The sequence below is a fragment of the Homo sapiens genome, chromosome 6 (genome assembly GCF_000001405.40).
Source record: "Homo sapiens chromosome 6, GRCh38.p14 Primary Assembly".
Lineage (NCBI taxonomy): Eukaryota > Metazoa > Chordata > Mammalia > Primates > Hominidae > Homo > Homo sapiens.
In genome coordinates this window covers 142,186,607-142,209,390 of record NC_000006.12, presented here as the reverse complement: position 1 = coordinate 142,209,390, position 22,784 = coordinate 142,186,607, and the positions used below count along the sequence as shown (strand labels likewise).

General features: G+C 34.6%; 1 protein-coding gene across 3 annotated transcripts in view, besides 1 other annotated feature; it reads right to left on the bottom strand.

The window, feature by feature from the left end:
* The window catches only part of VTA1 (vesicle trafficking 1), a 77,423-nt gene that overhangs the window by 15,295 nt on the left and 39,344 nt on the right, over positions 1-22,784 (bottom strand). For 2 of the 3 annotated variants that reach the window (NM_001286371.2, NM_001286372.2), the window contains 2 exons: positions 19,857-19,965; positions 10,776-10,952 (listed from right to left, as the gene is read on the bottom strand). In NM_001286371.2, coding sequence (NP_001273300.1) covers positions 10,776-10,952; positions 19,857-19,965 — 286 coding nt within the window. Of the gene's footprint in view, positions 1-5,325; positions 5,407-10,775; positions 10,953-19,856; positions 19,966-22,784 lie in introns of all 3 variants that reach the window. The other variant, NM_016485.5, reaches the window with a different exon arrangement.
* Positions 1,645-1,939: a silencer, noted in NCBI's record as "tiled region #15423; HepG2 Repressive DNase unmatched - State 25:Art". NCBI's record gives its function as "represses a minimal TATA promoter and a strong SV40 promoter by Sharpr-MPRA in HepG2 cells {active_cell/tissue: HepG2}" and the evidence as "EXISTENCE:reporter gene assay evidence [ECO:0000049][PMID:27701403]".

The window sequence follows — 22,784 nt, the reverse complement described above, 5'->3', positions numbered from 1 at the left end:
CACATAGTGTATATACACAACGGAATATTATAGTTAGTTATTAATAACTAACTTCTTTAGTTAGATCGGTTCCCAGGTATTTTATATTTTTTTGTAGCTATGGTAAATGGGATTGCTTTCTTAATTTGATTTTCAGATTATTTGCTGTTGGTGTATATAAATGCTACTGATTTTTGTATGTTGATTCTGTATCCTGTAACTTCACTAAATTTATCAGTTCTAACGGTTTTTTGGTGGAGTCTTTAGGTTTTTATAGGCATAAGATGTCTTTAGGTTTTTATAGGCATAAGATCATGTCATCTGTGAGCAAGGCTAATTTGACTTCTTCCTTTTCAATTTGGATGAACTTTATTTCTTTCTTTTGCCTAATTGCTCTATTCTCTATACTATAAAATTGCTCTATACTAAAAAATTATATACATAGTATTAATTCTACCAGTGGATTTTACACCTTGAAATGTTTTCTTCTGCACATTAGTGTTTTCTTTCAGACTGAAGAACTCCCCTTAGCTTTTCTTGCAGGATGGGTCAGCTTTTGTGTCTGGGAAAGACTATATCTTTCCTTCATATTTGAATGACAATTTTGCTGGACACAATATTCCTAGATGACAGTTTTTTTTTAAAATGTTCCAATACCTACTGGCCTGTTGAGAAGGCTGTTGCCAGACGATTTGGAGCTCTGTTATATGCTATTTGCTTCTTATCTCTTGGTGTTTTAAGGACTTTCTCTTTGTCCTTGGCCTTTAGCATCTGATTACTACATGCCTTCAGGTAGTCTTATTTGGGGGTTGAATCTGTTCGGTGTTAAAAGACCTTCCTGTACCTGGATATTTATATCTTTCTCAAGTTTTGGGAAGTTTTCTGTTATTATTTCTTTGAATAAGCTTTCTACCTCTCGCTCAGCTCCCTCTTGAACATCAATGGCTCTTAGATTTGGTCTTCTGAGGTAGATTTCTATATCTTGTAGCCAGTCCTTTTCATTCTCTTTTTTTCCTTCTTCTGACTGTGTATTTTCAAATAGCTGGTCTTTGAGCTCACTGATTTTTTTCTTCTGCTTACTTCATTCTGTTGTTGAGAGCCTCAAAAGAGTTCTCCAGTTCAGCAAATGTATTTCTCAGTTCCAAGATTTGATTTTTTTTGAAAAATTATTCCAATATCTGTCAAATGTCTTTATTGCTTTTCTGTATTATCTTAGAGGTCAATGAGTTTTCTTAAAATTGTTATTCTGAAGTCTTGGTCAGAGAGCTCACAAACTGCTGTCTTGTTAGGGTCAGTTTTGGGATTTTTTTTTTTTTTTTTTTTTTTGATGGAAGTCTCACTGTCACCCAGGCTGGAGAGTGCAGTGGGGAGATCTCGGCTCACTGCACTCTCCGCCTCCCAGGTTCAAGCGATTCTCCTGCCTCAGCCTCCCAAGTAGCTGGGATTATAGGCATGCACCACCATGCCTGGCTAATTTTTTTTGTATTTTCAGTAGAGACAGGGTTTCGCCAGGCTGGCCAGGCTGCTCTTGAACTCCTGACCTCAGGTAATCTGCCCACCTCAGCCTCCTAAAGTGCTGGGATTACAGGCTTGAGCCACAGTGCCCGGCCAGGATTTTTGCTTTGTCCTTTTGAGAAGGTCATGATTCCCTGTTTGCTGTTGTTTCTTGTGGGTCTTTCCTATGTCTTTGCACTGGAAGAATTAGTTATTTATTCCAGTTTTCTCTGTCCAGCTTGTTTTGGTTTTTATTGCATATATTTGCTCAACAAATCTTCACTGCTAGGTCGCTACCTCCTTTTCAGCTCTAGGTGGCGCCATAAGCCCAGGTTTGCCTCAGCTCTAGTAAATGTTTGGAGCGCTGAATGTCCCAAATGGATTACACTGGCAGTGTGGGAAGGCAGGCTAGGTAGGGGTTTGTGCCTACAGGACCTGGGAAATGTACCTCCTACAGCATGGTACTGCTGAACAGCCATTCTGATTTGGTGTCTCCTTTGGCCAAGTTGCACAGTGAAGTTTCTGGGGCTGGGAATAATAGTCTCTGCTGGTCTTCAGTGATATTTTCCCTGCAGGCAGTCATGATGCTACCTGTGGGTTAAGGCAAGGACAGATCTCCTGCCAGGGAACCCAAGGAGGTGGGGAAGATGGTTGACCACTTCAATTTTACTTCTTTCAGTGTAGAAATTATGAGGTGGGGGAGATTTTCTGTGTGGGCATAAGGGTAGGGCAGAAGCATCATGAAAGTGGAAGTCTGATTCTCCTACTGGAGTTTTTCCACTTCTCTGTGGCCCCAGGAACTATTTCATCCTCATACTTGGGCTCTGGGTTGTTGCTGGTGTCAATCTCAGTGCTGTATATTTGTTTTTCGTTTTCTGTTGGTGGGGAATGAAGCCAGTATGCTTCTACACTGCCATTTTGGAACTGGAAGTCCCTAGTTTTGGAGTTCAAATTTAGGCATCAGAACCATTTTGAGTTAAATTTTGAGATGAGTGGAAGGTCTGTGTCTAGATTCACTTTTTTTGCTGTATGTGGCTGTCCTGTTACGCCAGCACCATTTATTGAAACGAGTATCTTTTTTCAATGGTGTTCCCTTTGCTCCTTTTGTCAAAGATCATATGACTTTTTCTGTATGGGTCTATTTTTGGACTCTGTCTCACTGATCTATTTGTCTGTTCTTCTGCCAGTACCATACTATCTAGATTACTGCAGATTTGTATTATGTTTTTAAGTCAGGTGGTGCCAGTCCTCCAACTTTGTTCTTCTCCTTCAGTACTACGTTGATTATTCTGGGTCTTCTGCCACTCCATATAAACTTTAGATAGTTGGAGTTCATATGCACCAAATAACTTGCTGGGATTTTGATGGGAACTGTCCATAATCTATAGACCAAGCTGGGAAGAACTAACATCTTGAGAATACAGTCTTCTTATGCATGATCACGAAATCTCCATTTATGTAATTCTTTGACTCTTTCATGAGCATTCTGTAGTTCTCCTCATATAGATCTTGTAATGTATTTTGTTACATTTATACCTGAATATTTTTGGTGGAATGCTAATGTAAATGGTATTTTGTTTTTGATTATTGTATTTATGTAAATACAAACACAATGGCAAGTGTATTTAAATTTCAAATCCCACTTGTTTTGTGCTGCTATGTGGAAAGCAATTAATTTTTGCATATTAATCATGTATACTGCAATCCAGTTACAATTGCTTATCAGTTCTAAGTGTATTTTTTGATTGATTCTTCCAGATTTTCTACAGACCATCATGTCATCTATGAACAAAGACAGTGTTATTTTTTCTTTTCCTATCTTTATAGCTTTTATTTCTTTTTCCTTTCTTACTGCACTAGCTAGGATTTTCAGTATGATGTTAAAATGTCAGTGTTGATATTTATATTTCATTCTGAGTGAAGTACTCTATGTTTTGTCATAAGCCTTTTACCTTTTGAAGGAGAATGTTCTTTGTGTCTAAGTCAAATGAAATCCTTTTCTTTTATATTCCATAATTCTATTACTGTTCAAAATCATGGCATATTTTTGTTTGCTTCCAAACTGAGATTTCTTGTATAATATCAAAATTAGATGTTTTAGTTCACTTTTTTTTCTTACTGGCAGGATTCTAGGGCATCTTATCTATGTCTTTCATATTCTGAAGCTCCTATTCTATATATTAAATGAAATCCATGTTATTTTTCTTAAAGGAGGGGAGTTCTCCAATTTCCTATTCTAATTTTGGAGCAATTGCTTTCCAAGCAGGTGGGAAAGCTATCATAGAATCTTTCTTCTTTGGAGTATCTAAAGAAGTATATTTCACCCTTTCTTATATTTCATATTTCTATTTTGCTTGATTACCACCCTTATCTTGATGGAGTACATCCTGAGTTAAGTTCCTTAAAAAAGGTATGTGCTAGGCAAAATGTGAGAGTTCTTACATATTTAAAAATTATTTTGCCCTAACACCTGCCTGACAGTTTAGATAAAGAATTCTAGGGTTCTGGTTCTAGATGGTAGACTAAGCATATATAATTAACTATTCTTCCTTCTGAAACCATAATGAAATGATAAAGTAACACAGAAGGAAATAAATCCACAAAATTAAAAAGGAGAAGAGAAAGAATGAAAAAAGTGAAAAGAGAAAATTGACAAGAGATTTAAAGAGCATCTCCCTAAAACTGTGTAACAAACTGCCCAGGCAGTGCTAGAACTCTTAAGGTAGGTATGATATCCAGCTCACCCCTAAAAGGCTCTCCTCATTCCATGGTTGAGAGGCAGGAAGGCTTATTGGCCAGTTCCCACTCATACAGGGAGAACAGAAAATTCAAGCTGAAAAACACACTGGCAGACATTAACAGAGGAAACTAAATAACAGCTATTAAAAATAAATGGCTGGGCACGGTGGCTCATGCCTGTAATCCCAGCAGTATGGGAGGCTGAGGCAGGCGGATTATGAGGTCAAGAGATCGAGACCATCCCTGGCCAACATGGTGAAATCCCATCTCTACTAAAAATATAAAAATTTGCTGGGTGTGGTGGCGCACACCTGTAGTCCCAGCTACTGGGGAGGTTGAGGTAGGAGAATAGCTTGAACCCGGGAGGCAGAGGTTGCAGTGAGCTGAGATTGCGCCACTGCACTCCACACTGTCTCAAAAACAAAACAAAACAAAAAAGGTCTTCACTTCCTTTAAATTAAAAGGATTTAAATTTAAATCCTTTTAAATATAAAAGGATTAAAATTTAAATCCTTTTAAATATAAAAGGATTAAATATCATCTGACATATGAAGAAAACAAAAGTCTGAATGAGAAAGACCAAAATAAACACAATGCCTGATTTGGGCTAAAAAAACAGAGAAATCAGAAAAGTAGTAAAGATTATACTTAAACCAATCACTTAGCCTATAAACCAACCAACCAAAGTAACCTCAGAGATTTTTATTTTTAATAATGGTCAGTTCCTTTCTTTTTAGATAATTTAATAACAGTGTAGATAAGAAAAGTCACAATCAGAACTCATGGTAATCTCGAACTAAATTAATATAATCTAGCATAGGCTTCCATGGTAGCCTTGGCTCCATGTTTGTTCTTCAATATCCGGTAGTGCATGAAAAAAAGAACTGTAACAAAAGGGGACAGCTTTGGATGTTGGTATTTTTAAAGTCAAACAATCCTGGCTCATTTGAGAATCTAGTGAACATAAGCATTCAAGGAAATTTATTTCAAATTACCTAGAAATTCAAATTTCAGTAACAACATTTAAATATATGGTACTGTCAAGGTAAAATTACAAAACAGCAACCCAAAACAGGAGATAAATGTATCTCACAAAATAGTCAGCTGACTTACCCTGGGAAATTGTATTGAAAAGTGCGGGATCAATGGCAGGTATAGTCTGTGGAGTAGGTTGGATAGTATTACTTGCTACACCTGCAAATCAGAAAAGCAAAAATGGGCATAGAAGTATTACACCTTTTAATTATACAGCAGGGCAGCACTTAAAAATCATGAGGCAATTTCATTACTTTGCTTATTTTCTAGAAACATCAATGGATTCTAACTTGACATACTTAGTTGATGTTGGAGGATATCAAGTGTTTACATATGTGTATGGGCTATGCATTTCCTAACATGTATTTTGTCTAATGCTTCGCATTACTTCTCCATTAAAGCTTACCAAATATCTGTAGAAGTAGCAAACTCCCTACCTTTCAATTTCTCAGCCAATTAAATAATTTGGTGATAAAGTAGAACATAATTCTAATTTAGTTTAACTTAGAGGATGAATCCAATTTCATCACTGTGCATGAAATTACAAATTAACATTTGTAATTTTCTAGTTTACACATTTTAAGATATTTTTACATATCCAATAAACAATTATCCAATAAACAACTGTTTTGACTTTGTTAGAACATTTCAAAACTGTCATATCAATGAATAACTTAGCATTCTTGATTAATGGTAAGGAATATACTGAAGTTGAAGATTATTTATTAATCATCTAAAAAACTAACAAAAAGTGTTAAAAGTTCCCCCAAAAAAGGACTGAAATGATTCAATCAGCAGGAAAATAAAATGAGGAAAAGTTGATTACTCCAAATCAATGGAGTTAAACAGTCTCTCAAGATGGACTGTTTGCCAAACTAATACACTGAATTCGAATAGGCAATTTGTAGAAAGGGTAAAGTGGGAAAAATACTGGAATAAGAAAAAGGAAACAGAGAAAAAGGTTAAAATAAATAGGAAGTTTCTAGGGGGATGGATATATATCCACTGAGAGTTCTAGAATAACGGTTTCACAAAAGATGGCTGAAGTTCTAAAATTTTCTAAAGGTCTAAAGTTTTTCTGGTATGAAGTTCTAAAGTTCTTCTGGTAAGAAGTTTTGACTTTTAAGATTTTTCTCAACCCCAACCTAAGAGAAAAAATGGTTTAAATATACATTATTTACCTCACTTAATTGTTTTCCAGGACAAACTCGCTCTGTATTTATACCCTTTGGAACTATTAAAAGCCATATAAATATTGCTTTTTAACTAAAAATTGAAAAATTTTAAAGTACACAGGGATACAGATGAAAGGTGAAGTACAAATTTTATATAGTACAAAAAAATATAAAGGAGAAAGCCTGCCTCTCCTACCCCAAAGTTTAGGGCTAGTACCAGTTTCTATGACACCTTTCCACCCACCTACAAATAACTGTGTGTCCAATCCAATCTATATATATGTCAATGCTGTTCTCTGCTAAGAAATTTGTGTACTTATCTAAACCAAAATCTTCTAGAAGGCATACTTGCGTGTGTGTTTTGCAAATGGTAGTAAGTTCTGCATACTATACTTTAGTTTTATGCATTTTTCACTTAATGTGTCCTAGCAATAATTCCAGATTAATACGTATAAATCTGTCTTGCTGTTTTTAATGGTTCCATAGTGTCCCATTCTCTGCATGCATAGCTTATAAAGCAATCCATTACTGATGGACATTTAAGTTTTAATTTCCAATCTTTTGCTATTACAAATAATGCTACAGTAAATATTCTCATATACTGTGTATATGAATATATTTATAGAAAACTGTATAAAAGTATAAATGCAAAGTGAGGAGACAGCCAAATCTTAGGCTGACCTATTCAATGACTATTTTTTGCTTGATTTTGATAAGTACTCACCAAATATATTTAAATTATAAACATCTGACAATTTTCTCCACAAAACTTGCCAAACACTGAAAGGCACATAAATATATATTATTTTAAAAATGCTAGAATGTAAAATCTGAGATGGATCTTCACACTAGTCATGTCTAGTGCTTTGAAACAGGTGTACCTAGGCTTATGTAGATTACATATATCATTCATATACATCTTAAAAAACAAGGTAAATCTACTATACTCTAATGGTCCAATCTATAGATCAATGTCATTCATTGCTAAGTAATTTGCATTTCTGCCTAAATTAAAATCCTCCAAACAAATCTCTATTTATAGAGAAGACTATCCAGAAAGTGTGATTAAACAGACTCCTGAAAGAACACAGCATTTGGAGAGACACAGAAAAAGGAAGAAAGGAATGTTACCTATATTGTCTATGAGTAACAGTATAAGGAAAGAATGAGTGAAACCTTAGTGTAATCATGAGAAACAGGGTTGAGAGAAATGCGTAGGCCAGAGTATCAACAACAGGTTATCAAAGCTTACAGAAGAATGCAAACATGGTACTTCTGACACAAGTACACAGCCTACATTTTGATCTATGAAGTGAGCTGCATTTTACAATGAAAGGCTAGCTTTAATCATAAAATAATTATATTATTTAATCTAGCTTTATTACTAAAATCTTCTCCTGTAATATGAACTATAAAAAGCTTATGTTTCTTGAGAAAGAAAAAAACACACTGTATCAACTACATGTGATATCTGTGCAGTGTTGAAAGCACAAGAAGCAAACACTTCGCCTGTTTAAACAATCACTATCCCTGTCCTCATTGCACCTCCTTTGCTTTTTTGTGGAAGAACTAAAAACTGCAAATTAGTACATACTATTCTTTTCAGTTATCTTAAGGATTTCCCTTTGATAAAAGTGCATCCTGGACCTTTATATGAGAGAAAATAAATCATTCTTAACGTGAGTAAGAGGGGAAACATTTGCTATTATTTATATTATTAAAAATGTTATTTTGTTTTTTATTAGGCAACTATGAACTTTTTTTACTGTTTCAAATATAATAGAAAAAAATCTGGGGCTAAAAGGAGGAGATTTCAACATCTCAAACCAATCTTAAAGGGAAATATACTATCAGAAAAGTAGGTTTTAATTTGAGAGGATTTTAGTTCCTTAGAGGAAGGAACATAGAAGGCACATGGCTAAAACATGAAGTCAAAAAAACGTGGATTCAAATCCTGGTTCTGTCATTACTGGGTATGTTTGTTTTCTTAGAATAATTGCTTAGTCTCTTGAGAGTTTGTAAGTTAAAGACAGTAATACATAATATAGTTGCTGCAAGAATAAGTGTGGAAATTAGCCATGATAATCATTTGACTGGTAAGGCTACAAGAGTGTATAAAATATGATAGGATCTCATTCTATAAAAGTTCTAAGTTTTTTAGTTTTATTCTTCCCTCTAAGGAACAAAAGACAGAGAAAACAAGAGGCTCATGCTAGAGTTAACTAGATCAAATTGAACTGTTTATGACAAAAAACTTTCTAATGGAAAACCACCTAATATTTATCTTTATGTCATGAATATTCTAGCCAGGATACACTGTGTATTAGTTTGAACATATAAGACTATCAATACTTTATCATTTTTGTTACACAAAACTAGCAATTTCATATGGATCGATCTACTATAGCCCTCCTGTTAAAAGTGTTCTCTTTTGTATACTCATAGAGTGTACCTATATATAAAATATATACTGATGTGCCTATACCACAACTCTGCCTTGAGATATACTGTCTAAAACAAAACTCCTTGGACAGTCTTTCTATAAGGTTAATATCCTACCCCCAGTTGTGATACTTCTCTTGATTCGCATAATAATTTTAAGTGTTCATTAACTTGCCATTAAATACCTTGACTTTCCTTGGCACAGAAATAGGAAGGAAGAGGAAAAAAAGAGGGAAAGGAGGCTAATCTGCTGAACACTGATTTTGTGATAGGCCTACTACTAGTCCATTTTTACAGTTTTTCCCTTTTAATAATTAAAATAACCATGAGAAGTAAGTATGATTAATTTCATATTAGAAAGAGGAAAAATTAAGGTCACGAGAAGTTAAATATCAGCTGAGTTTATGCTTTAGCATGGGGTAGAAACAAATAACCAATATGATTTGCCTCCTAAATGCATTTTATTTCCCCTTGGCTCCTCTATGAGAATGCTTGTGTCTGGGACTCTTGATCAGGATTTCAACCTTCAAGTATAATCTGAACAGTATTCATCTAAGGCAAACAGATCTAAGTAGCTGGTTTCACTTACATTATTCCACACTGGAAATAATGAATATTTCTAAACATAATAAAATACTTAAAAGTGTTCCAAGAAATTTTACTTCCAAAACAAATGCAAATAGGTTTGTCTATTAATATCATCACATAGGCCATAAAATATTGAAAAGTCAAGGTCAAATATGCTGACTGAAGACACAAAAAAAGATCAGTGCTAAAATTATCATTTCATCAATAATCTTAAAGAAAACGTTAGCAATATTTTTGCAGATAATATAAACTTGTAAGTTTTAAAATAGGAGGAAAGACACTAATCATACTTGATGTTACAATGGTCAAAATAGAAAACTTGCATATAATGTAATTCATGCAAAATTTGGGTAAAATAAAAAAAATTTGGGTAAAATAAGGCTGACAAATAAAAGTAAAGTAGTAGTGTGTTACATAATAGGAACAGTAGAAATCAGGGCATGAAGGATGACTATCATTCCATTAATTATTTTAAAGTGTTTGTATAGTTTAGTACCATAAGTCACCTGGGATAAAAGTAAATTTTTAAGAAAAGTTTTTGAAAAAATTAAATGTAAAATTTAAATTATAGCTGCAAGTGTCCTACTTGGAGATAAAGGTGACATTTTGTCAACAATGCAATTAAAGGGAAGAGTAACTGAAATTTTGTCAAAGTGTCTTTACTGACCCTGACTTAACTACTAAGGACTAACTTTGTCAGATTTTTAAAAATAAAAACATAAACATACAGTACTGATTTATTCACAGATAGGTCTCTCTTTCCTGTTAGTTTTTTAAAGTGTAAGGTTAAAAAAAAAAAATCCGAATCCCTGCTTTCACCTGTCTATGATTTCATTGTTACTGAGATTTCATGCCTCAAAGCCCATTCCCCATCATCAATAATACCCATCTTCAGGGCAGAGGCATAGTCCCAAGGGAATGAAACAAACCTAGATATCACAGTGAGACCCTGACTGACACATCCTAATATCAACTCCACTCACCTCCGAGCTATTCTAAAACAACAGTGAGGGGAAAAGAAAGGGAAGAGAAGAAAAAGAAAAACAGCAATATATATGAAAAGCATGGAAACCAATCTTATTAATAAAATATAAGGTTAAGAGTAATCAATGCACATAATACTTGTCATTTCTCAAATAATTAGAATACAACTAATATTAAAATTTTAATGAAAATAATTTAATGTTTCTTGTGGGTTCAAATGGAATTCAAGGAACTTGTCATGTTTTCATGACCATCATTATGAGGCACATATGTGATAAGAAATGCAGTTCTTCTTTATAAAAGGGGAATTAAATAAATCATTCAGTTACAGTTTCCCACCTGTGCTGTGAGGCACTTCTGCTGGTGTATTAGCTGGAGCGTGTGCACCCGGAGGAATCTGTATTCCAGTATAGTTGCCTGATGGCATGTTGCTTGGGTCATAAGTTGAAGATGATGATGGCTGAGTTGGCTGAGTGGGCAGAGAGGCTGCTCCAGCATCTTCATTTTCTTCAATATCTATCAGATCACATATACACAATGTTACAGTAGGTATTTTGAAATACAAGTGCTAGGTATTCTTATTTCATTATACACATGACAAATGGAATCTTTAAATGCAATTCTATTTAATGCAGTGGAGAAGCAAGCTCTATTCTTAAAACAATATTTTTAATTTTTTTATTTTCTTAAAAAATGTAATTGTACCTGACAATATGATTATCACTTCTTTCAGGTTAATATTTTTTAATTCTATAAAATCTTTGCATATAGTGTATATGTACACACATATACACACACACACACACACACACACACACACACACACACACACACATATATATATATATATTTTTTTTTGAGACGGAGTCTCACTCTGCTGCCCAGGCTGGAGTGCAGTGGCGTGATCTCAGCTCACGGCAAGCTCTACCTCCCAGGTTCACGCCATTCTCCTGCCTCAGCCTCCCGAGTAGCTGGGACTACAGGCGCCTGCCACCACTCCCGGCTAGTTTGTTTTTTTTTTGGTTTTTTTTTTTTTGTATTTTTAGTAGAGACGGGGTTTCACCGTGTTAGCCAGGATGGTCTCAATCTCCGGACCTCGTGATCTGCCTGCCTCGGCCTCCCAAAGTGCTGGAATTACAGGCGTGAGCCACCACACCCAGAATATGTTTTTCTTTAAAATAAACTTTCTTTAAACTTATGAAGACTCAAGGACATTTCTGGCAAAACATGCCACATTTATGCTATCCAATAAGAACTCCATTTTCTGACAGCGGACTTTTACTTAAGATTTACCGCGTACTAGCTACTAAATGATTATCTGTGAGTTGTTCAATGCATTTAGCTAATAAAAACAGAGGAATGAAATTTTGCATTTAGCTATGCAGAAAGAAATGAGATATTTCATTTTGAAAAGTTCTGAAATGCAAACTTTTAAAATATACTGTATCGTGAGCCGAATTTGAAAACTACTTTGAAAAACTGAATTTTGAGTATAAAATGACCATCAGCCGCTACTGGGAGTCATAGTAACTTAAAATAAAAGCAAGCTAGAGCTACAGACTCATCAAAGAGAATAGATCTTACTGCTTCCTACCACATTTTTAAATAACTTTTTTGTCTGATTATAAACAGGTTATTCAATGTAGCTAATTTCAAACAAGAAAAAAAGTTAAATTTACCTAATCTGAGATAAGCATTTTATCAAGCAACCTTGTGGATGTATTTATACTTTACATACATTAACATGACTTTCCCCAATACTGGAGAACTCTAACATTTATACATTCTGGGAAAGAAAAAAGCTCCACAACATAAAGGCACTAGAGCATGACCAAAAGCTGGTAGAAATGAGAGTAAGGGTAAGAGGAAATCTTACCAGGTAACATTTGATTTTATGTGGCTGTTCATCTGAGGGCAGTCAATAGTCTACATAAAAGAAAGTTGCCAAGAAGTGAGCCATGAAATGTTTGTATGAACCCCAACTAAATACCTACAAGCCCCTGAATTATGCACACTCAGGTAAGACTCTAGGGGGCCCTGGAGAAAAGCAACTTAAAGCTGAAACAGGGGGACAAAGTTTGAGTTCTGGCAAGTCAATGGTCTGCTGGAATAAGAATCAAGACTTTGCAGAGAAAGATAACAGGATGCAGAGGAGCTTCAACATGTTATCAACAAATAGAAATTATTAAAAATTAGGGGAGAAAAGGAAAATGTGAAAAAAAGAGTCTACAAAAAAGACCTCAAAATGACCCTGATATTGAAAATCAGCAAAAAAGCACTTTAAAGCAGCTACAATAAATTTGTTCAAGGCCACAAAGTAAAACATGGACATAACAAATGAAAGAGACAAAACTAACCAGAGGGGGGAAAAACTGTAAGAGAAAAAAAACAGATGGTATTAACAGAAAGGAAATGGCAAAATAGGTTTAAATCTAGCTATAGCAATTACATTAAATGTAAATGAACTAAACACTATTTCTCACACAGGGGTTGAGAGACAGAATAAAAAAGTGCCTATATGCTTTTTGCAGGAAATGTACTTTAAAACACAAAGATCTAGATTTGTTTAAACTAAAAGGATGACAAACCATGTAAATATCCAGCAGACAAAAGCTGGTGACTAATTTTAATAACAGACAAATAGAATCAATGACAAGGAATATTAGCTGAGATAAAAAGGACCATTTCATAAGGATTAAAACGTTAACACAAATACCAAGCTGACAAAAGCTGGGGTGGCTAACTTTAAAATCCGGCCAAATAGAATTCGTAACCAGGAACATCAGCAAGATATAGTGGGATGTTCCATAATAATAAAAAGGTTAGTTCATAAAAAATAACTATAAAGGTACATGTGCCTAATATAATAACAGAGTCTCAAAATGAAACAAACTGGCAGAACTAGTAAAACCACTGTACTTGGAGATTTAACAGAGAACATCATAAGCAATAACTGCAGAATACATTCTTTTCAACTGCACATGGGACATTCACCAAGACAGATCATATGCTGGGCCATGAAAGAAATCTTGATAAACTACAAAATACCGAAATCTTTTATAGTATGTTCTCTGACTAAAATGGAATTGAATTAGAAATCAGTAAGATATCTACAAACACCTCAAACATTCTGAAATTAAAGAATATATTTATAAATAATCCATTACTCAAAGAAGAAATCACAAAGAAAACTATAATTATGGTGAACTGAGTGATACCAAAATTTGCAGGATGTCACTAAACCAATGCTTAGAGGGAAACTGAAAGATAGATTTAAATTATTCTATCAGAAAAGAAAAATTTAAAGATCAAAGATCTACATTTCCTCCCTAAGAAGCTAAAAAAAAAAAAAAAAAAAAGCAAATTAAACTCCAAGTGTGGTGCAGCAAAAAATAAAAGGAATAGAAAATAAAGAAGAAAAAAACTGTACTAAGTACTTGTTGAGATAATAAAAAAAATTAAAACATCTCTGTCAAGAGACTGGGAGGAAAAAGAGGAAACAGCTATTATGAATATGAGAAATGAAGGAGGTGATATCAAATACATCCTACAGACATTAAAAGGACAGTGAAGACAATAAGAAAATATTACGCCAATAAATGGCACTACCTCAGGGAAATGAACAAATCACTTGAAGATACAAAATACCATAACTCACCCAAAAAGAGATGATCTGAACAGTCCTAAATCTATTGGGGAAATTGAATTCATGGTTAAAAACCCTCCTACAAAGAAAATGCAGAGCCTAGATGGAATAAGCAGTGAATTATATCAAACATTCAAGTAAGAAAAAATACCAATCTTATGCAAACAATTTCAGAAAACAGAGAAGGGATTACTTTCACCTTGTTTTATGAGGCCAGTGTAACCCTGATACCAAACCTCACCAATACTGAAATGTAGACACACAAATTCTTAGTATCAGAATCAAATCAGCCATATAATACAAGGCCTCATCATGACTAAGTTTACCAATGAGTGCAGGGTTGGTTCAACATTTGAAAATCAATCAATGTAACTCATATTAACAGAAGAAAAAAAGTCCTATGATAATTTTAATAAGTGCATAAAAAGCACTTGACAAAATTCAACATCCATTTATGACAAAACTTCTCAGCACCCTAGAAATAAAGAAGATTTCTCAGTATCACATAGGGCAAAAAACAAAACAAAACAATGGACATATTTATTGCCACTGGCACAATAGTCAAGAAAAGAAAGAAATGAGGATTGGAAAGGAAGAAGCAAAACTGTCTCTCCTTGCAAATGACATAATTATCTACATACAAACTCTCAAGGAATTTACAAAGTAATTATCAGAATCAATAGGTAAATTTAGCAAGGTTGCAAGATAAAAAATTATACAAAAATCAATTGTAATTCCTATTAGAAGCTAACGACTGGAAAACCAAATTAAAAAATTAATTTCATTTACAAGAGAATGAAAGGACACAAAATACTTGAAGTAAATTTAACAAAAGAGGTAAAAACCTCTACTTCAAAAAATCTAAAATACCGCTGAAAGAAATTACAGAAAACTTAAATAAATGGAAAGATACATTATGTTCATGTACTGAAAGACAATTAATTCTCCCTAAGTTTAATACTAATCATAATGCCAGTAGGCATTTTTTCTAAAAAAGAGAAACTGAAAATCTAATTCTAAAATTTATGTGGAAACTCAAAGGACAGAATAGTTAAGATAAAGGAAAAAGAAAAGAAGATTGAGTTACTCAGCAGATGGGTCAGAGTAATACACCCAAATGAGGAACGTGTTGACTCCAAAATCCAAACAGGTCCACTAGGCACAGTACCTCTCTTTTGGTCGTAGGAGTGGCTAGATGCAACAATATCACCTTACTATGAATATCTTGACATGCCCCATATCACTGGACCTTTAGAAATTTCACTGACATCCCTGAACTTTAGTCAGTTTGATTTCCCATTCTCTGAGAAGCAAATGTCTCACCACTAAGTCCAGAGTAGTTGCTCACTAGGTCCAATCAGCATAATGTCATCAATATAATGGACCAGTGTAATATCTTGTGGAAGGGTAAGAAGGTATTAAGATCCCTGCAAACTAAATTGTGACATAGAGCTGGAGAGTTGATATACCCCTGAGGTAGGACAGTGAAGTGTACTGCTGGCCATGCCAGATGAAAGCAAACTGCTTCTAGTGAACCTTATGGACAGGTATGAAGAAAAAGGCACTGGCCAGATCAATAGCTGTATACTAGATACCAAAGAATGTTAATTTGCTCAAGTAATGAAGCCACAACTGGTGCAGAAGCTGCAACAGGAGTCACATAAAGGATCATAATAAAGAATAATGAGTAATGAATTATAATCACTGAATATAAATTCATGAGCCCATACTGATGTAAATAATTAAATGAATAAATACATTTATTTATGTATAGACTGGAAAGTCCATCCTTATGATAGAGTGCCAACTAATTAAAATAAAAAGAATGATAAATCATCAATGAATGCTAAACCCAGGGGGTGAAGTTGCATAAAAAATATAGGATATTTACATAATATCAAAGTATCTTCCACAAATTACTTATTAATAGCAAAGGGAAAAATAATTTTAATGGGGAATAACCCAGAAGACACCACATTACCCAAGTGATCAGTTAACATCACCAATATTTCACCAAAATCATATACTTCTAATGTAAGGCAGGGAGGACACAACTTTATTTTGGGCTATTCTGCAAAAAATGCATAGGGTTAAACTAATTATGAGGCAATATCAGACAAACAAATTGAGGAACAGTTAAAAAGTAACTGTACTTTTCAAAAGCATCAAGGCAAAGAAACACTAGAAATCCTGGGGAGCTACTCCAGATTAAGGAGACTGAAGAGATATGGCACCCAGATGCAACGTGTGATCTATGTGCATGAGAAGGAAAACTACAAAGGGTATTACTGAGTCAACTGCTAAAATCTGAATACAGATGGAAATCAGATGATACACTAAATAAATACTATACTTCTCGATTTTGATAAGTACACTGTAGTAAAAAGAATGCCACTCTTCTGAGGAAATACAGAAGTACTCAGCAGTAAAAGAGCATATCTCTAATTTACTAATAAATACTTCAAAATATATATATAATGATATCCTCTTGTGAAGCCATAAGCCATTTCTAAGGAGATACTGCTAAAAATCATGACATTAACACCAGATTATGACACCAGGTTGTATTTTGAAATTTTACACACACACACACACACACACACACAAATATATAAAATAACCTCATGTCCTTTGTTTTTTATGTGTGGTAGGGGGAGTGGGGAGAGAGAAAAGGGGACAAGGGGTGAGAAAGAGGGACAGACTATGAATCAATGAGAGAATGTTTAATTCTGGATCAAAGGCATACTGGAATTCTTTATATCATTCTGGCAACTTGCCAGTAAATTTAACATTGTATCAAAACAAATTTACCATATAAAATGAATGGTTTCAATGATCTACTGTTCTTTTTTTATATCATTAATTCTACATACAGATGCTCATCAACATACGATGGTGTTACATCCCAAAAAACCCACTGTAAGTCAAAAATCTAAGTAAAAAATGCATTTAAAATACCTAAGCTACCGAACATCATTGCTTAGCCTAGCCTACATGAAACATGCTCAGAGCACTTACATTAGTGCAAAATCATCTAACACAAAGCCTTTATATAATTTAATAAATACTGTACTGAAGGTGAAAAACAATGACTGTAAGGGTTCTCGAAGTACAGTTTCTATTGAATGCATATTGCTTTGCTATCTTCTTAAAGGTGAAAAAGTATACGTTAAATCATAAGTGGAAGCCTGTTTGTAATATCTATTCAAATGTCACAGTGATGTGGTATTCAGCTAGAACTTAATACATAGTATTGTTTTCAAAAGTGTATACTCTTTTGTTCTTTATCTAAGTTAACTAAGTACAATATCTATTATTTTCTACGGTTTTACTAGAAATTCAATGCCAGAACAATAGACAATTAGGTTTTTGTGAAATATACTACCTTTTACACTTAGACTATGTTCCAAGAGTTAATCCTAAAACACAACAGAATATAATTCTACACTCAAAAAAAGAAAACAAATCAAAGTCTTAAAGAAGATTTTTCTCACACAAAATCAGATTTAATGACATTATATCTTGTAGATATATAGGCTATCTTTGAGAAGACATTATTAGAGGTTATGACATTAAGCCCTGATTATGACAACAGGTTATGTTTTAAGTTAATGAGTTGAAAAAGTATGCAGTGAAAATATTCTCCTTTATATTGTAGAGGATTTATTATTAGTATTCTGTAGCTTACAATTTTCCACTATCCAGAAACTCCAGCAAATATGTATGAAAATAAATAACAGAAATGACAACTTCCATTTAAGCTGACTTTTGGAAAACAAAAACTGTCTACATTTAATAATCTATTTAGTTAGCATTATTAATCGTAAGGGCCTACAATAACCATTTCAGAACAAAACAGATCAACGTGATAATCAAAATGCACACTTCCTACTTTCAAAGGCAAAATGTTAAAGAGTTTTAAGATTAGAGAAGTTACTGATATGGAAAGAATGCCGAAAACCCCAAATTGACAATTTATTAGGTATTTCAATATACCTAAAATGCAACATCTAAAATAGTCCCGAAAAGTAAAACAGCTAGTTGGTTTCACAAAAAATTTCCAGGGTGCATTTAAAGACCAGATAATTCCACTGTTCCAAAGCACAGAAAAAGACTAGAAATATTCTGAGTATATTTATGAAGTAAGCATAACATCATAACATTGATACCAAAAAGGAAAACTGTAGACCATCTTTAGTTATAAATGTCAACATAAAAATCCTAAATGATATAGTAGTGAACTGAACCTATCAGTATAATAAAAAAATAATATATCATGACCAAGTGGGGTTTATCACACAATGTAAAATTGGTTCAATAATAGGCAATCTTTCAATATAATTCATTATAATAATAGATCTAAAGAGATTAATTAGATTGGGGTTGGCCAACTATGGCCAGTGGGCTGGCAGGCTGTTAACTGTAAATAAAGCTTTACTGGAACACAACCACACTCATTTTTTTACATATTATCTATGGCTACTTCTGTACTACAACAGCAGAGCTAAACAGCTGCAACAAAGACAGTATCATTCATAAACTGAAAATATTTATTATCTGATCCTTTAAGAAAGTTTACTGATGCCTGCATTGGATAATTATCTTCACAAATGCATAAAAGTGTGTAACAAAATGCAAGGATCGTTTGGAATTTTCTCAGTTCCAAGAACAGTGGTCGTTCTCTTTATAACCATCTATTTACTACGTCTAATACATAAAAAACAAGTAAGTGAAAAAAGGTTTCCCTTTTCTATTACACATTAACTGAAAGGCCAAGTAAAATAATGAGACCTTTATTTTTTCATGATTAAAATTTGTAAAACGCACTGTGTGATGGTAAAATTTTCCTGTACATATTAAGTTAAAAAAAAACATAGCCAGGTACAGAACAGTATGTATATTACCAGTTGTATGAAAAAATGGAGCATATATGTTTCTACTTGGTAGTAAATTCATAAAAAATGATCTCTGTAAAGATACACAAAAAAAACTAAAAATGCTTACTTGAGTTTTGGTAGGATCTGGGAAGACGGGGGATGTGGTAGACAGGAGAAATTCACTTCATATTTTTTATATACTCTACAATTTTTTTGAACCATGTGAATGTATTACTAACTCCGCAAATAACCTACATAACTCAAATAGATTTACAAAAAATGATACGGTATTCTTCGTGGTTTGAAAACATTTTATAAATTATAAATGGATTGCCTTTCCTATGTAACAGGAATGAAATCTGATTAAAAGTAGGAGGCCAGGTACGGTGGCTCACGCCTGTAATCCCAGCACTTTGGGAGGCCAAGGTGGGCGGATCACAAGGTCAGGAGATCGAGACCATCCTGTCTAACACAGTGAAACCCCGTCTCTACTAAAAGTACAAAAAAATTAGCCAGGCGTGGTGGCAGGCGCCTGTAGTCCCAGCTACTCGGGAGGCTGAGGCAGGAGAATGGCATGAACCTGCGAGGCGGAGCTCCCAGTGAGCAGAGACTGCGCCACTGCACTCCAGCCTGGGCGACAGAGCGAGACTATGTCTCATTAAAAAAAAAAAAGCAGGAGACAGATAAGTCACTTTGTTGACATGGACAGGTATTACAGCAGTTTGACCTTTATTTCTATTTCTCACTGTCCCTAAGTTTATGATTTTATACTTAACTTTCATTGATTCTGGGCCTGATGAAAACAAAACTGTATTGTTCCCTCCAAAAACTTTGAGTAATCTACTGAATAATTATGATTCTACTAAGTCCTTTTACTCAGAATAAATAAATACATACCATTATCTTCTTCAATTCCAACAGGGCCTGCTTGAGGAGTCTCCCCATTCTTTAAACAATTATGGATGTATGTTGCCTTCCATCTGGCATACTTCCTGTGTTTCACATTCTAAAAGAGAGCATTTTTATATCAACATTGGACTATGGTAAAGAAGTAAAAAGTAAACATTTATGATGACCTATATCATATTTCTGAGATAAAACCTATTTTTGCAGATTACAGCTCTAAAAGAAACTGGCAATACCCCACCCTATTGCTGGAATCCACCAAGTATTTAAGGCTTGACAGAATTCATGAAAAGCTATTGTCCTCAAAACATACGCCCAGTTCTCTTTTATCATATAACATTTCAGAAAGGATATGCAACGGAAAAACAGGAGTGTCCTTCCAGCAAAATTTGCAACTCTTCTGCACAGGGGAGAAATAGGCTAAAGTAGAAATCTAAGACTAAATATAAAAATAACAATAGATTGAATTATTTTCACTAAAGACAAAAAAACAGAACTGTACAAATCAAGAAAAAAATAAAAAGAAAATTAAGATGTGGTGGTTAAAGCAAATGCTAGACTGATAGGCAGGTAAACCTGACTTTTTAACTAGTCACATGCTAGTTAACAGCTCTGAACCTCAGTTACCCTGATTCTAAAAAGGGAAAAATAATACCTCATTGGGTTAACTGAAAAGATCATGAAGAACCTGTTAGCTGCCTCTTCTTCTATGTCTTAAAACTAATGTAACATGATATGCTAATGTTACAGGATGTAAGATAAAAATTTGCATTAAAAATATAAAAATCTCTTAGAATTTTGGATGTGCTAGTGATTTTTAGTTTATATTTTCCACTGACCTTTATAGTGGCATCGTTATCACTTGGGAACTTGTTAGAAATGCAGAATCTTCAAGCCCACCCCAGATCTACTGAACCTGATCTACAAGTGCCAGCCTGCACCTGCACTACAAGACCACCAGGTGATTTATACGCACATTAGCGTTCCAGAGCGAACGTGGTTTTACTATTTGAAAACAGGCACGGTGGCTCATGCCTGTAATCCCACCACTTTGGGAGGCTGAGGCAGGCAGATCATGAGGTCAGAAGTTCAAGACCAGCCTGGCCAACACAGTGAAACCCTGTTTCTATTGAAAATACAAAAATTAGCTGGGCGTGGTGGCACGTGCCTGTAGTTGCAGCTACTCGGGAGGCTGAGGCAGGAGAATCACTTGAAGCCAGGAGGCAGACGCCACTGCACTCCAGCCTGAGCAGCAGAGAGAGACTCTGTCTCAAAAAAAAAAAAAAAAAAAAAAAAAAAAGAAATAAAGAAATAGAGGGCTAGGCACAGTGGCTCATGCCTGTAATCCTAGCACTTTGGGAGGCCAAGGAGGGTGGATTGCCAGAGCTCAGGAGTTGGAGACCAGCCTGGCCAATATGGTGAAACCCCGTCTCTATGAAAAACACAAAAAATTAGCCGGGCATGGTGGCACACACCTGTAATCCCAGCTACTCAAAAGGCTGAGGCATGAGAATCACGTGAACCCAGGAGGCAGAGGTTGCAGTGAGCCAAGACTGCGCCACTGCACCAGCCCAGCTCCGGACCTCCTCCCGGCCAAAAAAAAAAAAAAAAAAGAAAGAAAGTATCCTTTTGCAAAGATCCACGAAGTCACTGATAAGTACAAATGCAGCAGGTGGTCCAGATACTTAGTTGAGTATTCTATAATGTGAGTCTCTAGATACTACTACAGGCAGCTTCTGTACAGAAAACTAAAAAAAAATTAACCCCTAAATTACTAAATTTGTATCACATTTCCTTATCAAACACTCCTCTTACATATTCAATTTAAAAATCTATACATTGATTCTGATTTTCTTCCAGGTATGACATTTTGCTCCACTTCACAAATGAGCTTTCCAACAGAAGTATCCACATTTAGTCTTCACTACTTCACCACTCAGTTCACTCTGTGGGGTGGGGAGGGTATATTTCTTTTCTGTATAGTTCATATTCTCCAGTAACACAAAAGGTCAGGGAATTTGAATATGCCTGTGTCTTTTACTGGCAGGGAGCCCACATGCGTCAGCCTGTTCCTCACTTAAGTTGTCAGTTCATTTGAGGAATTGCTCTTGCTAATATCAACTGCCTAGTCTACACTAGAAAATCCAAGGGACACTTTTTAGGTATCATCTTACCAAACTGCTACACTCTGTAAATATATTAAAAGCCCTGGACTATGCCAATCTTTGTGAAACCTTCTCTATCTCTAGTTTTTGTGACACTCTATTCTCTTGGTTTCTCTCTAACCTCCTTTGGCTCCTAATCCTCTAGCTGACCTTCAAGTAATTTTAAATACTCTGTCCTAGGACAGAGTGCAAAATAGTGGGCGCAATCAATAATAACTCATATAGAATTTTAAATATGAATTATGTTTTATATATCCAAATATGGGAAAAGTTACATAAAAGCCAAATTTCTAACTTCTCTTTTAAAAATGAAATATCTGGGCCCAGATTTATTTAGTAATAATTATCTGAGCTGAATGAATAGAGGCAGTTCCCTTCAGATAATGTATGTTCATTCATTCTCCCTCTCCTCCATCTCAAGTTCATACATCATATCAGTTGCCATTTATTATCTCACAGTGGGGCTGTCTTAAGCCATTACACCACCTACCAGATTCATACAAACATCATGATCCTGCCATCTAGCTTTTTTTTTTAACCTCTTCATATGCCTTCCCATAGCTTTAAATACTATTGATAAATTTATTATTCTTAAATTTATGAATCTAGCCAGAATCTGCTTTGACAAATACCCGACTATGTGACATCACCACTTGGATGTCTCACATACAATTAAAATTAAAACTGTTCTTTTGATCCCCCTACCACCTCTCCTTTCCTCTGGGAACTTCACTCTCAAGTAAATGGGAGGAGT